This window comes from Homo sapiens, chromosome 5 (genome assembly GCF_000001405.40).
Source record: "Homo sapiens chromosome 5, GRCh38.p14 Primary Assembly".
In the NCBI taxonomy this organism is placed as follows: domain Eukaryota; kingdom Metazoa; phylum Chordata; class Mammalia; order Primates; family Hominidae; genus Homo; species Homo sapiens.
The window spans coordinates 124,113,292-124,130,577 of record NC_000005.10 but is presented as its reverse complement, the minus strand read 5'-3'; the positions used below and the strand labels follow the sequence as shown (position 1 = coordinate 124,130,577).

The window sequence follows — 17,286 nt, the reverse complement described above, 5'->3', positions numbered from 1 at the left end:
GAGTGCAATGAGGCACAAGAATGTTAAAGTTTGAATGTTAGCCCTTGGTGGGGCAGGGCCTGGAACTCCAGCCAGTTTGATTCCAGCTCCAGGTATTTGACTCTGTACCAAACTACTTGGGGCTTTTAGAAAAAAATCCTTGTAAGAAAAGGTGAATTACAACACATAATAGTATTTACATTCTTCCTTTCTTAAAGTATCATTAGAAAAACTTGATCATTTTTCATAAAAGACTTTAAAAAATAGATTGCCAACTCTCTTGCATTGTTAAACAGAGACTCTTCAGGGCCATCCCAGAAAGAGCATCACATTTTCTGGAGAAACCTGGGCTTTGGAACCAGCCAAATCAGGGCTTTAAAGCTGAGCTTATTGACTTACCAGTTGTGTGACCCTGAGCAAAGATTTAACCTCTTGGAACCTCAATTCACTCATCTGTGGAAAATGAAAACAAACAATACTGACAACTTTGTGGCACTATTCTGATGAAGAAGTGAGATGATGTGTGTCAAGTACCAAGACGAAAATAGCAATTATGCTCCATTATTGTGAGTCTGAGATACAGTGATTATTTCCTTTTGCCTTATGGATTCTTTTGCTTTGAGAAAGCAAGAGAAAGAAAGAATGGATTTAAGTGTTCTAGTGTGAGAACCGGTCAGAATGAAATAGATGGTTGCTGTTTGTTGTGAGCAGTCTGCAAAGTGAGAGCAGCACCCAGAAAGCAGGCGGGACGGACCGTGGCATCCAACGCCCCTTCAGCCTCAGAATAGTTTGCTCTGCATAAAGCCAGCCGAGAGATGTCTATCCTAGGCATTCGGGGCCTTGGGATCCCCCAGCTAGTCTATCTGAACACTGCTGGTCCCAGGAACCCCTCACAGTGGCAGGTCTGAGCTGGAGAGAAGGGCCAGGGACTTAGGGGATGTGATCAGAGGTCCTGCAGCAAGTCAAGTTCAGGGTAGTGATGCACTTCTGGGTCCACTGGGTCACCTGTGCCTACTCCTGCTGTTCAAATAGGGGATGGTGACTTTTCAAGTTTCATAGTTCAGAAAGTATATCAGAAGGGAGGCTTAGGGGCCAGTCTTAGTGTTTCTGTGATCTAGCTGTGCGACCTGGGTTAAGTAGCTGTGCCTCACTTTTCTATTCTATAAAATGGGCATAGCAAGACCCATGCACTGTTCTGTGGAGAGAATAAATGTGAGAATGATCATAAATGCACTCCAAAAGTTTAACACTGCTGAAACACTGCTCACCTTTTTGTCATCCATACTCCACCTGATCCATTAAATATGTTGTAATGTAGTTCATTGTTATTATGATATCATCAACTATTTTACAGGATAGAGAATAGGGACAAAAGAAATTAAGTGATTTGCTCAGGGTTGCATGGCAAGTCGATGCAGGGAGGGTTTCTGGCCTTGGAGGCTGTGCCTGCTCTTGCCAGAGCATGGAGACCCTCCTGAAGCCGGCCTTGCACACTTAGTCAGCTGGCATGCTCCATGTGCATCTTCCTGGAGCATGTGGTCTCTTGGTGCTGCTCATGGAAGCAGTTGCCTTGCACAGATGTCTGAGAACTCTCGCTGTGGGTCTCACTCTGGATCCTTGTGCAGTAACCCTCCCCTAATCTTTCCCATAAATAATGATGAGCCAGACCCTGACTTTCTCTTTGACTGGCCCATCTCCCCAGTTACTCCCTCTTCCCTATAGTGCACAAACTATGAAAAATTACAGTTCATTCACACTTTAGGCCCTGGGTAGCTGAATCCAGTGCCTTCAACACTTAGCCCTCTTTGTTCCTCCACCGCAACCCAACCTGCCTGCACCCTCTTTGTGTGTATATGTGTGTTTGTGTGTTTCTATTTAACTAATAAACTTTATGCTTTAGAGCTGTTTTACGTTCATGGCAAAACTGAGTGGAAAGTACAGAGAGTTGCACATATCCCCTGTTCCACACACCACCTTCTTTTTTGAAGCTATGATAACAATGCAACTTTCCTAACGGGCGCTTTGTACATGGAAGGCTCCTTCCCAATTGAACTGCCATAGCACAATGCAGTAAAGACTCTGTAACAATAGCTGATGTACTGCACATTACAATTCTAATCATATATTTTATTGGAAGCTGTATACCTCTTAGAGCCAGCATTTCATTTGCCTCCTTTGCCTTATAGAAACACTGCTGCTGTGACAACGGGCAGCAGTAAAGCTAATGGTCTTTTCCAAATTCCTTCTTAGATTCAAAGGGAGAAAAAGTGTGAAGGAGAGGGAAAGAAAAAAATCACACAGTCATTTCCAGCTATTTGTGTTAAAATACAAAGAAAACAGGGCACATTCAAAAATGGTATGCCGGGAAGCCTCCATTAATATTTATTTTGGCATTAATATTGATAAGAAAGTACTTTGTAGCTGGGCTTTGTTGCCTACCCCAGTATCCTCAAGCTCCCTGTTATTCAAGCTGGTGGCCATTAGCTTGCGTCTTCCTCTGTACCCAGAGCCTCTGAGAGACTTGGCGGGCCTCCAGCTCACTTACGCTTAAATGGACACTCAAGCTCCGACGGACACACAGCTAAATAGAGGCCAATAATTCAATACAGTATGACTGTACTGGGGCTGCTAGTAAATCCATCAAGCAGTAAATATCATCTGAAGCCAATGCAAGCTTTTATCTTTCCAATTTTTTTGTATGTCTGAGCGAAGCCCAGGCATTCAGCGAATCATGTAATTTATTCTGCAGTGCCGAGCCTGGGCTGTCTCAGACATCATATTGACTTTTTTTTTCTCCCATCTGTCAGGGGCAGTCAGCAGCTCTGCTATTGTGAGAGCGCATCACATTACATCTATTTATTTATTTATTTCCGCTGCTTCTTTGTAGCATGATTGGGCAAGAACGCATTATCTCAGATCAGCGAATACTAAGAAAAGCATCTGAACATCATTACGACAGCATGTTAAACATTTGTCCTACCCAGTTTGTTAAATCAGCAAATGTATTTCCAGCAAATGCTTGTAATTGTTCATAAAGGGCTCCCTACTGCAGGGTTTTACTAAGCTGAAAATATGGCCTGTTATTTTCTTCAGCTCTTTAGGTCAGCGGTGATTCCAATATATTGTAAATAATGCTGAACAGCTGGTGTACTGACTTGGTGTGTGTGTGTGTGTGTGTGTGTGTGTGTGTGTGCGCCTCTGTCTGCATATGCATGTGTCTGCACACAACCACACACCTGGCTATAGCTCTGCATGTTGCACACATATTTTGTGCACATGTAAATGATTGTATAGGTCAATGCGGTATAAAGTACTGTATATGGCCAGGCAGGCCCAACACTTTGGGAGGCTGGGGTGGGAGGATTGCTTGAAGCCAGCAGTTCAAGACCAGTCTGGGCAAGAAAGTGAGACCCCTGTCTCTACAAAAAATAATGTAAAAAACGTAATTAGCCGAGTGTGGTGGTGTGTGCCTGTAGTTGTAGCTATTCAGGAGACTGAGGTGGGAGGATCCCTTGAGACCAAGAGTTTGAAGCTGCAGTAAACTATGATCGTATCACTGCATTTCAGCTTGGGTGACAGAGCGAGACCCCATCTAAAAAAAAAAAAAAAACAGTGCTGAATATTAACTTCACAAAGTTAATGATTAGGTTATGGTTTACAATGGTTAGAGAATGTCCTGCTTCCTAATCAATCAAAATTTAGCCTGAGAACAAAGCTCTTTTGGTTACAGTTGCTGTCTTCTTGAAAACTTAAAAAGTGTAGCTCCTAAATTTAAATGTTATTTATGATTCTCTTGCTCTTCTTCCTGTATAAACTTCAAATCGAAGAGACAAATAGGAGGAAGCCCCTCTTTTCACAGTGGGGTTTGAGACTGCTACTGCTGGACAGAGCCATCAGACATCTACTGATTGGATGATGACACCCCAAGTAAGATGCTTCCCCCTAGGATACCCCCCAAAGCAACTAACTCTTTCTCAAAAGCCAGGTGTGCTTCTGAGACTCATCCTGATTGACTTGATTCCATTTGAATTTGATTCATGTCCTACTCTAGATGCATGCATCAAAGAAAAGTGTTTTAGAAGTTTCTTGATTTTCTTTAATAGGCATCATAAATGTACTTCACAGAAACACCAATGCAGGATATGCAAATGGAGCCGGACTTAGAGTCAGCCATGTTGTTTGCCCAACTTCTCTTTACAAACAATGTTTAAAACCAAAAAATCCCACACCTTTTTATAAATGACTGTAAGTAAGGCCGTTGATATTTTGAGAAGCAGTGAAATCGACATTGTTTTAAGAACTTGGCTCTTCTGTATACGTATGATCAATTTTTAAAAATGGCATCCTATTCCTTTGGATAACTGCATTCATTGAAAAAATACTTGTGGTTTGTACTTGATAAAGAATATCTTTCTATGGACTGATTGTGAAAAATGACTTTGTATTTTATACTCCATTATTAGTGTCACCACCTTAGAAAATATCAAATTGGCTTTCCCATCTACATCTGACCAGGAGAATCTGGGTAAACATGAGTTTTATTCTAAGATTGGATAGAATTATGGCTCACATCCTTGGGTGCATAGTTGGGCACACTCTCCCTCTCCACACAGCAGAGAGCATCAATGCATATGTTTAATTTCCCTTTATTAACCTCCAGTTAGAAAGTCCTGCACAGTACATGCGGCTTTTAGTATTCCAAAGAGCAGACACACTGTCTTTCTAAAAAAGCATATTAAAAGGCAACTCACTGAGTCATTTTCTAACACCTGAGAGCAATTAATGTAAGCAGAGACAGGAAACATCATCAATTATTTAAAATAAAATGAATATGTAATGCTGACCTTCTCCAACTGCCATCAGTTTTATACTTACACCTGAATCAACTCAGGGGAACATGAAACCCACAAGGCACTTCACACTGCAATCTGCAGAGAGGCAGGCGCTGGTCACAGGGAAAGCTGCCTGGCTGGCTATGTTCACCCCTGAGAGGGAGGTGGAGAAGCCCCCGATACCTGATGAGGGAAAACGGATCCTCCAGCTCCCTGAGTGCATCACCACCTGGGACCAGCAACTTTATGTACAAACACTCCTGGCCCACCAGTCTTTCCCAAATATTTTCACTTGTTTCCAAATTATTTTATATTCCTACCATCTTAAGGAGGAGGGCTAAAATTTCTGTTATTTTATATTTCTGATATAAGTATATATATGGGCAGTGTGTGTGTGTGTGTGTGCGCGTATCCTATGTCTGTTTATTTGTTAATATAAATTTATTAGCTTTTTTCTTTTTTAATTCTTCCCTATCCTGAATAAAAAAGGAAGTGGGGAATGTAGGCCATGCTTATTTGGGAAGCCTAGAGAGATGTTTATATAGCTGTAATAGCCAGTTGCTGAAATTAAATGAATCCTCTGCTGTCTGAACAGAGGGTTTCTCTGCAAATATGAAAGCTCAGACATTCTCTAAGGGCACTGTCACTGACTGGAGATTGGGGGAGGGTACATCAAGGGAACATGCAGTTTATTATCTAATGTAATTGCTGTGCATGACATATGGCATGAGCCAGGATTTGGCACAGCAATGGACGAAGATTTTCAGAGCAAAGCCTATTAGACACAAAGTGCAAAAAGTCCTTTGTGACTATTCAAGCTAAACAAGGCTTGAAGTGCTGGTATCTATTTTTCTCCTGACTTGTATTAGTAATTCCAAGAAAACTCACAGAGGGCCTCATACAAAATGACCCAAGCTGCCAACTGGGTCATCCTCTTACTATCCTCCTCCAGACATTCTGAGACTTTGGCAAATAGTCTGTTTGTGAGTCTTAGGACTATGAAAGCAAAGTTGACTGTTAGTTTCTGGGACCAGATTTATCACAGAGCTACTCCTCACGGTGTTATTAAGATTCTGACTTCCTGTTACAAAGCTTTTTTTTTATGTTTTAGAAGGTTGCCCATTCAAATTGGCACAGAGCCTAATCACAAACAGGTTCCATTTGAGAAACTTAAGAAAAGACAAGGGGAATAATTTGCTAATGCTAATTACAAAAGAATAACAATAAGTTCTTTATGTTTATCTTCATAATCCTATGGCCAAAAAAGGCTTTGCTCCTTTTAACATGGCATTATACATCTTAAACTTTAAATGGCTTTCAGGGGAGAGCTAACGTAAAGAATGCTTTCTCCATTGCCTTCTTTATCACCACCATATCAGATTGTCCCTTTTACACACAGAAAGGATGCCGGATTTAGGAAATCCATGCCAAGGAGCAGAGCTAAGGTAGGGTAAGCAAAATTCAAAGACAGCATGAGACTATCTTTTCACCCAGAAATTTTTGATTAATTAGACATCCATGCAACCAAGAAGCAGGGTGTCGCCACTGCTGTTGTTATGAATTACCCTTGCCATAGGTGGAAGCACAGCTGCGGGTAAGTGGTGGACTCTCAAACACTATAAATCCAGTTATTTCAGTGAGATGTATATATACACAGCAGTGCTCATACTTGGGCATGGACAGTAAAAAAAAAAAAAAAGTGAGCAAAACTCTGGGTTATTTTGGTCACAGAATAGAATAAATGCACTTTAAATATGATAGAAACAAAGTACCATAAGATTCATGATTCTGGGCATCAGGGAAGGTTTATTCAGGAAACAACCAGGAAGGTATAACCCTGTCCAAAAGCCAGAGTTTAAAATAAAATCCTCTCACAGATCCTGTGTTACTCAGAGCTACTAAGCCTAGAAAACATGGAACTGGAGAGGGACATTTCCCAGGTCATGGCATCACAACCAGAATTTTAAGGGACACACTGAATAAAAATTCAGCTTTTTCATTGCTGTTATTGCAGAAATCTCTGCAAAAACTATTAATTACAAATGCTTAGGGTCCTGAGACTCTGCCCTCAAGTCAACTTAGAACAACTGCACATGAAAAGACTGAGAATTATGATTTGCATTCAAAGTCTTGCCAATTCAGAGCATGCACATGGAAAGCAGAAGGTATGGGTCGGGATCTGATGATGAGTAGGTGAGACAGAGATATATCCCTTAGTCACACCAGGGAAGAGTCTTTCCCATAACGAGAAGGTGTTACCACAAATTTCTTGCCGACTAGAGCAGGGGCTTAGCTTGGTCTTAATATTACAGCAAGTAAAACTGGGTAGTAGGGAGATTAGGTGGTAGGGCCTTAGAGTCAGGAGCCAGAATTATTTGCTTGATGTTTATGAAGGAGCTAGAACTAGAAGATAGATACCATCCTTTGTATCTCTTCAGATTTGAGCTTTCAATGGTGTATTTCATTCTGCTTCATGTAATATTTTCTTCATCCTAGTCTTTATATCATATCTGCATATTTGGTTTTTGTTTTTGAAAAAAAAATGCTGCTACTTTTGGAAAAGGTGTCTCAGCCTCTCCAACAATACTTCTGTCTAAGGAGTTATATCCCTAAAAAGTATTTCGGTTGGTAAAATCACCTTGACGAGATTGAGATCTCCTAGAGAATAGGAGATTAAAGGAAAAAACAAAAACACACAAAGGTTCTGGAAGGCATACAATTTGAAAACTAAACAGCTTTAGATCATTGTGAATCTTCCCTGGTCTTCCATACCTCTTCAATGGTTCAGGAACTGTGACACCGTGGCACTGTTATTCTATCAGCTTTGCCACAGGTTTTATTTTGTGCAGACTAAACCACTTCTGAACCTGTTTGCAAATATGATGGCAAATTGCACATTTAAATTGTTTTAGTGTAAAATATAAAGCTACATTATCTCAAAACCACAACTAGCAACACTTTAGTGCATGCGGGATTACCATATATTTTTGGTAGCTTTGGCATATACAGCTGTTTATAGTCTATTCGTGCTTATAATAATTGCCCATTAAACTAACATAGTTAGCTCTCTTTTCAAAGTATTATTTAGTCATTCTCAATTAATGATGCTGTCTTTATAAAGTTCTGAGTTAGAGACCTTCTCTAAGTATTGCTGTACAAGATCCATTCACAAACAGAAATATTCCAAGAGAGTGAAGAACATGTGTGGAAAGACACTGTTGAGAGAGATAGCATGGCACGTTGGAAAAAATTAAAAGGAAGCTACATGGAATAGAGGGCCTCAAGCAGAGTGAAGCAAGATGAGGCTTGAGCAACAGGCAATGTCGAGACCTTGGGAAAATCCAAATAAGACTTTGTTCTCCTTATAGCAATGGAAATTATTGAAAGGATTTCAAACTCAGGCTTGGAGAAAGATATATATATATATAGTACTTGGTCATGGATTGAATACAGAGGACAAAAGAGAGAGACAAATGCACAGATTTCTAGCTTGATTAGCTAAATACATGGTGTCATTATTCACTGCAATAGAAAATGGAAAGTAGGCTTTTGAAGAAAGTTCATGACTTTAGTTTTGGATGTGATGGATGGCTTTGGAGTATCCAAGAGGTGATACCAAGGAGGCAGTTGGAAAATAATGAAGAATATCATTCCCCATAACACACAGAGCTACACATCAAGTAACCTGCTAGACAAAGAAAAATTCTCCAAAAGATAACAATCTTAACATTTTATTTGACAAATACTGTGGAACTTTCAAGTGCATATCAAATCTCTTTTCAAACAGCCTCTTTGAAGTATGCTAAAATGTAGGTCTACTCTTTCTCTCGTTACTTTGTGTCACCAGATTTCTCTCCTCAACTTATTTCACGGCAGTCTCTCTTCCTTTGCTTATTACAGAGCATTTTTCAGAGAGTCTTGGTTTTACCTGATGAAAAGGAGCCTGTAATTTTAAAGCAATTGAGATGAGATAGCCATCAGAATTTTGGCTGATGAAGTTCCCTCTTATTTCCTCACCAAATGAAGATATTCAAAATCTTATTTTGAAATCTAAATCTGGCTTTATTTTCCCACTCAAGAAAATCAGCCTAGAAGCTCAAAAGGGAGATAAAATTTGTAAATCACCTGCATATAGGTGGTAATCGAAACTGTGGCCAAGGATGAAATTGCCTAAGAGAGACCAGCATGGTAAGAAAGAAGGCTCCACTTAGAGTCTATTACCAACAACTTTTAACTTTTACTATTTAAATGTTCTGTTGTCAGATCTCCATGTATTCAGAGCACCTGCCCACCTTGATCAGCAGTCTGACTCACCCCATTCTTCCTGTGCATAGACTGTGGTACAGTGGGTCTTGTCCACTCCCCACCCAGGCAAATCTCCAGACATTTGTAGCAACCGCTCACCTGGTTCAGCAGTCTGAGTCACACACCTTGCACAAGAAACATACTCCAGGATCGACAAAATGGTTGGCCATAAGGCAAGTCTCAATAAATTAAAAAAATCAAAATCATAACAGCCATACTATTGGAACACAGTGCAATAAAAATAGAAAACAGTACCCAGAAGTTCTCTCAAAACCACAGAATTACAGGGAAATTAAACACTTGTTCCTAAATGACTTTTGAGCAAACAATGAAATTAAGGCAGAATTGAAATTGCTCTTTGAAATAAATGAAAACAGAGACATAACATATCAAAACTTCTGGGATGCAGCAAAAGCAGTGTTAAGAGGAAAGTTTTTAGCACTAAATGTCTACCTCAAAAAGTTAGAAAGACCTCAAGTTAATGATCTAATATCATACCTGTAGAAAGTAAAAAAATAAGAACAAACTAACACATATACTAGCAGAAAAGTAAATAGCTATAGTCAGAGCAGAACAGAATGAAATTGAGACACTAAAATCCATACAAATAATTAACAAAACCAAAAATTGCTTTTTTGAAAAGATAAACAAGGTGGATAGACCACTAGCTAGATTAATAGAAAAGATCCAAATAAGTACAGTCAGAAATGACAAAGGTGACATTACAACTGATCTCACAGAAATACAAAAGATCCTCAGAGACTATTATGAACACTTCTATGCACACAAACTAGAAAATCTAGAGGAAGTGGATAAGTTCCTGGAAACACACCATCTTCTACAATTAAATCAGGAAGAAATTGAAACCCGGAACAGACCAATATCAAGTTCTGAAACTTAATCAGTAATAAAAAACCACCAAAGCCCTAGACCGGATGGATTCACAGCCAAATTCTACCAGACATACAAAGAAGAGCTGCTACCAATTCTACTGAAACTATAAAAAAGTTAAAGTCAGTATTACCCTGATACCAAAACCTGGCAAACACATAACAAAAAAAGAAAACTAAAGGCTAAGATCCTTGATGAGCATAGACGTGAAAATCCTCAACAAAATACAAGCAAACAAATCCAGCAGCACATCAAAAAGTTAATTCACTGTGATCAACGAGGCTTTATTCCTAGGATGCAAGGTTAGGTCTACATACACAAATCAATGAATGTGATTCACCACATAAACAATTGAAAATAAAAACCGTATGGTCATCTCAATAGACACAGAAAAAGCTTTCAATAAAATCCAATATCGCTTCATGATAAAAAACGCTCAACAAGCTAGACATTGAAGGAACACACCTGAAAATAATAAGAGCCATCTATGACAAACCCAAAGCCAACATCATACTGAACAAGCAAAAACTGGAAGCATTTCCCTTGAGAATTGGAACAAGATAAGGATGCCCACTCTCACTATGCCTATTCATCATAGTACTGGAAATCCTGGCCACAGCAATCAGCTAAGAGAAAGAAATAAAAGGCATCCAAATAGGAAAAGAAGAAGTCAAACTATTTCTCTTTGCTGAGAATATGATTCTCTATCTGGAAAATCCTAAAGACTCCACCAAAAGGCTCCTAGAACTGAAAATTGACTTCAGCAAAGCTTCAGGATACAAAATTAACGCACAAAAGTAAGTAGTGTTTTTACGCCCCAGTAATGTTCAAGCTGAAAGCCAAATCAATAACTCAGTCCCATTTACAATAGCCACACACACACACACAGACACACACACACAAACTAGGAATACATCTGACCAAGGAGGTGAAAGATTGTTACAAAAAGAATTATAAAACACTGCTGAAAGAAACCATAGATGGCACAAACAAACATTCCATGCTCATGGATTGGAAGAATCAACATTGTTAAAATGGCAATACTACCCAAAGCAATTCACATATTCAACACTATTCCTGTCAAACTCCTGATGTCATTTTTTCACAGAAGTAGAAAAAACTGTTCTAAACTTCATATGGAATCGAAACAGAGACCAAATAGCCAAAGCAATCCTAAGCAAAAGAACAAAGCCAGAGGCATCACACTCTCCTACTTCAACTGTGATATAAGGCTACAGTAATTAAAACAGCATGGTACTGGTACAAAAACAGACACCTAGACCAGTGGAACAGAGTAGAGGACCTGGAAATAAAGCCATGCACCTACAGCCATTTGATCTTTAAAAAATTTGGCAAAAGTAAGCAATGGGGAAAGGACTTCCTATTCAGTGCATGATACTGGGATAGCTGGCTAGCCATGTGCAGAAGAATGAAACTGGACACCTATCTTTCACTATATACAAAAATTAACTCGAGATTGATCAAATACTTAAATGTAAGATGAAAAAAGTAGGAAATACTATTCTGGACATCTGCCTTGGTAAAGAATTTATGACTATGTCCTCAAAAGCAATTACAACAAAAACAAAAATTGACAAGTGGGTCCTAATTAAATTAAATTGCTCCTGCACAGCAAAAGAAGCTATCAAGAGAGTAAACATGCGGCCTACAGAATGGGAGAAAATATTCACAAACTATGCATCTGACAAAGTTCTAATACCCAGAATCTATAAGGAACTTAATTCAACAAGCAAAAACCAAATAACACCATTAAAAAGTGGGCAAAAGACATGAACAGATACTTCTCAAAAGAAGACATACAAGCAGGCAACAAACAAATAAAAAAAAATGCTCAGCATCACTAATCATGAGAGAAATGCCAATCAAAACCACAATGAGATACCATCTCACACTAGTCAGAATAGCTATTACTAAAATGTCAAAAAATAGCAGATGCAATGAAAAGGGAATGATGTTTATACACTGTTGGTGGGAATGTAAAGTAGTTCAGCCACTGTGGAAATTGGTTTGGAGGTTTCTCAAAGAACTTAAAACAGAACAACCATTTGACCCAGCAATCCCACTACTGCATACACACCCAAAGGAAAATAATCATTCTACCAAAAATACATGAACTCATATGTTCATGATAGCCCTATTCATAACAGCAAAGACATGGAATCAACCTAAATGCCCATCAGTGGTGGATTGGATAAAGAAAATGTGGTGCATGGAATACTAGGCAGCCATTAAAAAAAGAATGAAATCATGTCCTCTAGAGCAACATAGATGCAGCTGGAGGCCATTATCCTAAGCAAATTAATGCAGGAACAGAAAACCAAATATCACATGTTCTCACAAGTGGCAGCTAAACATTGGATACACATGGATGTAAAGACAGGAACAACAGATACTGTGGACTACTAGAGGTGAGAAAGTGGGATGAGGACAGGGGCTGAAAAATTACCTATTGAGCACTGTGTTCACTACCTGGGTGATGGGGCCATTTGTACTCCAAACCTCAGTGTCTCACAATATACCCATGTAACAAATATGCACATGTACCCCCTGAGTCTAAAATAAAAGTTGAAATTATTAAACATAATAAATAAATAAATGAAGTATGTTCTGGTTATCGCACTGGTTAGATATAATGTCTCCATGTTGAGTTTTACCACTTTATTCTAGTTATTTGCACCATATGATGCTAGCTAACGGCCTTATCTATTTTCTAATGTATCCATCTGCTTATGTATTTTATCAAAACACATTTTTTTCACACTTTGATCTCCCATTTCAGTGAAGATGGGAAAGCAAACAGCTAAATGCCCATAGATCTTTTCAAAGGAGAGGTTTAGTTACCAGTATTTCCAAAAATCCTATTTCATACAACTGCTAACGAATTGAAAAATTGACTGCAAAAATGTACTCTTTACCTCTCTGCTGAAACTGTCTTTAAAACAGAGACAGAGAACATGGATAATCTGAAAATTAGATAATCCATTATAGGATAATAAAAAAGTGACTGTATAAGCAAATATTAAGGATTTTATACATCATTACCCATCAAAACTTTTATTCTTTGAGCTTTTCAATACATGCACTCTCTTCTGTACATATACTCACAGAAAGATGGACTCCCAGGAGAATCCTGTAAACTGCTTTTCACAGAAACAAATAGAGAAAGCCTCATTGGTCACAGGAAACTGATTCTTTATGAGTGAGGCCTAAAGGCATCAAAAGAACCATTGTTGTAAAGGGTGCTTTAGTGATCACCTCTACATGAAGCAAGTTACAGTCTATGATCCAATTATTAGTGGCTCTGGATTTTAGAACTGGGCTTGCTAAAAACTAATCATTTGATCTTGGTCCTTATATATCATTTCTGCACTTGCATTTTCATCTGTTAATTGATGGGTTTTGCCTAAAGGACCTCTAAAGACCCTTCCAGTCTGTATGTCATCCAATTCTAATATTCAAATATGGAGCATGCTTGGAACATTACAATGGGCTCATGGGTATTGTAGACCAACCTATCTGCCCTCATGTTTTATCATATTTGACCTGAAACATCTGTGTAGCTGGTAGGTGAATTAGCACATTATGTCCCCAGACATGTTCACAGTCTTGGTTGATATTAATTTCCATCTTAGAAAATCAATTGTGATTTTAGGATTTTCAGATAACTGGCCAATAATCATAGCTAATATTCTTTGCTCTGATTACTTGATCTTGCCTGGAATTATCTATCTTTTTATTCTTTCTGGCTCTATTCTTTCTATACTGCCTCAACTTTCAAAATGCAAATTTACTACTCTACTCAAAAACTTTAATCAGCATTTCAATTAGGGGGAATAAAAGACCAAATCCCTGGCTTGCCATTCTAGGCTCTTTACTCTCTAATTCCAAAGTACTTTGAAAGCTTCTGACATTCCTGACCTTAGCAACCCTTATGGACAATCTACGCTGGGCTCCTCACAATTCCCAATATATGCCTCTTAGCTGTGTGTCCATTCTATCAGCTCTTCCCAAAGTGTTCTTCTGCTCATTTCCTACCAACAAAACTCTCCTATTCTTTCAGGTTTGCCTCAAACATTGCCTCTCTGTGAGTCTTTCCTTACCCACCCGTAAGAATTAATTTCCCCTTCTGCAGTTGGACACCACTTAGTCTGGATGTTCATCCCTCTGGTCCATTACTTATCACAGTCTGAGGTGTCTATATTTATTGTGCTGTGATTGTTTCTTCCAGAGGAGTATGAGCTCCTTGGAGACACGATTGATGTCTTATTCATCTTTGAGCTCTCAGCACCAAAAACAAGGCTTACAAAAAAGGAAATGATTTGAATTAGTTCAGCCCCCTAAAGGGTACTTGAGGATGGGGCCAGAGTTTTATTCTCGTTTGTAACGGATGCCATAGAAAAACTGAAGAATGAATCTTTCTTGGGGTACTTACTAACTCTGTTATTTTGAGGGTGTTATTTATTGCCAAAACTAATTTTCATCATTTATAAACTTATTTTATAATAATGGTTATTGCCATTCACTGATCCCTGATTATTCTCTAATTCTGGGCACATGGTCTGATTGCATTTCTTAGTTCCTATGTATGTAAGTAAATGAGGACATGTGACTAATTCTGAAAAATAATTTGTGAAAGGAAGTAACATGCATTGCTTCCTACCTACACACTTAATTGTTGGGGTGAGGCTCCCAAAGCTTTCTTTTCCCTTCTATCACAGTGATTTGCAGCATTTAAGATGGTGGCTGCTTCACAAAACTGGGACAACTGAGTATCTAAAATACAAACCATTTTCTGTAATCCAAGATGTACATACAGCAGAAGCAAGAAATCTCTGTTGTTTCTAAGCCCCGCGATCTAAGCCCCAGACTAACAGAGATCCCTTAACATAGGAACGGTCCCCATTCTCCCATATCCTCCTGAAATTCTGTCATGAGACTTACACTATATTGTAAGAACTTGTAGAATTAGTGTATGTTCTTGGTAGGCTACTGTCCAGCATTTCTCTATGTTTTTCCTGAACCATCTGCGCCTGTATCACCTGGGAAGATTATAAAAAGTTCAGATTCCAATATTAATAAATCACCATCTTACAAAGTCTAGCTAAGGAATCTGTATTTTCAACAAATCTTCTCACTGCTGATATAAATTTCATTAGAAACTATGTGCCTCTGGTTAAGAATGTCAATTTCTAGAGGATAGGGGCTTCATTTATCTTGTTTGGCTCTTAACCCAGCATCTGGCACAAGGCCAGGCATATGGTAGGTAAGTAACCAATAAATATTTATTCTATATAGATGGGAAAAGGACTATAATTCCTGCTCCTCCATCTCAAGGGCATCCTGTGAGGATGAAATAGAATGATGTATGCAAAATCACTTTGTGTGCAGAAGAGGACTATATTATCACACCACACAAAGAAATTAATCATTTAACCAACACTGTTACCTTTGAACCCATAATGGCTTTATGCATTATGGCTTTACACAAAGGTTTTACCTAGAGCTAAAACTCATTGACCACTCTATGCTGGGCATTTTCCTAAGGCTTTCCATAAATTTAAGTTGCTTCTTTTATCTTCTCAAAAACCTTCTGAGAGAGAGAGAGAATGTTATTTCCCTCCATTTTACAAATTAGAAAACCAAGATTCCAAATGATTATCTTGGTCAAGATCAGATGAGGTTTGGATGTTTGTCCTCTCCAAATTTCATGTAAAAATGTAATCCCCAATACTGAGGTGTGACCTTGTGGGAGGTGTTTGGGTCATGGCAGTGGACCCCTCATGAATGAGTTGGTCTCCTCCTCATGGTAATCAGTGAGGTCTTGCTCTAAGTTCATGCAAAGTCCAGTTATTTAAAAGAGCATGGCACTTCCCCACCTCTTGCTACCGTTTCCTTGCTCCTGTTTCCTCACTCTTGCTCCCACTCTGGCCATGTGACACACAGGCTCCCACTTTGCCTTCTGCTTGTTTGGAAGCTTCCTAAGGCCTTAACAGAAGCAGATGCCAGTGCCATGCTTCCTGTACAGCCTGCAGGACAGTGAGCCATAATAAACCTATTTTCTTTGTACATTACGCAGTCTCAGATATTCCTTCATAGCAAGGCAAATGGACTAACACAAGATCCTACCGCTAGCTGGTAAGTGCTAGATCAATGGTTCTTAAACTGTAGCAAGCACCAGAATCACCTAGTTTGTTAAAACACAGATTGCTGGGCACCCATCACCCAAAGTTTCAATTCAGTAGGTTTGGAGGAGAGCCAGATAACTTGCCTTTTAAAGAAGTTCAGAGGTGATGGTAATGTTTTTGATCTGGAACACAGTTTGAGAATCACTATATTTGAGCTAAATTTGAATCCAGGAATTCTAACTTCAGGGTACCTGGTCTTAATTATTATTGTCTTCTGTTTTACTACCATTCTAGTCTTTATGAACACACATAGTTATTTTTAATAATGTTTCTTAATTTATTTTTAATCACAATAAATATGTAGAGATGCTGGAAAGTCAACATCAACTACAATTGGACATTTCTTAATACAGTTTTAGGATTGGCAAATAGATATCTTTTTCTGTGGCATACTTGTAGGTAAACTACCTTTGGAAGATTTTTAAAATTTCATTTTTGGGAGTGTAGGGCAAGAATCATCACTGGGAACAAATTCCTAACCAAGATTTTCAGCTATATGTTGCACCTGCTCTGCCAAGTGGATCTGCCCTTTTCATAAGATGCCTTCAGCTTAGGTGTGTTTCTTTCCCTTTACTTTCTCCATGTGTCCCTAGCATGGGAAGTTTCTATGTTCTATGAGATTAAGGAGACATTAATAATATAGAGATATTTTTATAAAATTTGAAAATTCTCCCCAAGTCCTAACCTCTGAATATAGTTAACTTAGGGCTTATTTCATGTCTTCCCTTTTTCTAAATGAAATAACTAAGGCACTATTTAATGAATAATTTATATGTTGATGAAAAGAATGCATAGTTGGAGATAAAAATTTGAGATGACCCTTCTAAATTTAATGCTTACCAGTGAGACTTTTTTTCTTGCAAATGTCACTGGATTTTTGCCAAATTCAACTTCCAAATAGAGGCTCTTGTCTTTCTTGCAATGAGTGTCAACGAGATGTCAATTCATGTGCAATTATATATATCTCCTACCACATCCATGTTGGATCTGGCTTTTGTTGTTTTTGTAAGCTAAACTGAAAGTATGCATACTCCAAACTCTGTATTCCTGCTACTCTAATGAAATCAATGTTC

At 38.6% G+C, this 17,286-nt stretch overlaps 1 long non-coding RNA gene across 1 annotated transcript in view; it reads left to right on the top strand.

Moving 5' to 3' along the window:
• Positions 1-17,286, top strand: part of LINC01170 (long intergenic non-protein coding RNA 1170) — a 378,727-nt gene that overhangs the window by 307,943 nt on the left and 53,498 nt on the right. The gene's annotated exons all lie outside the window — the stretch shown is intronic.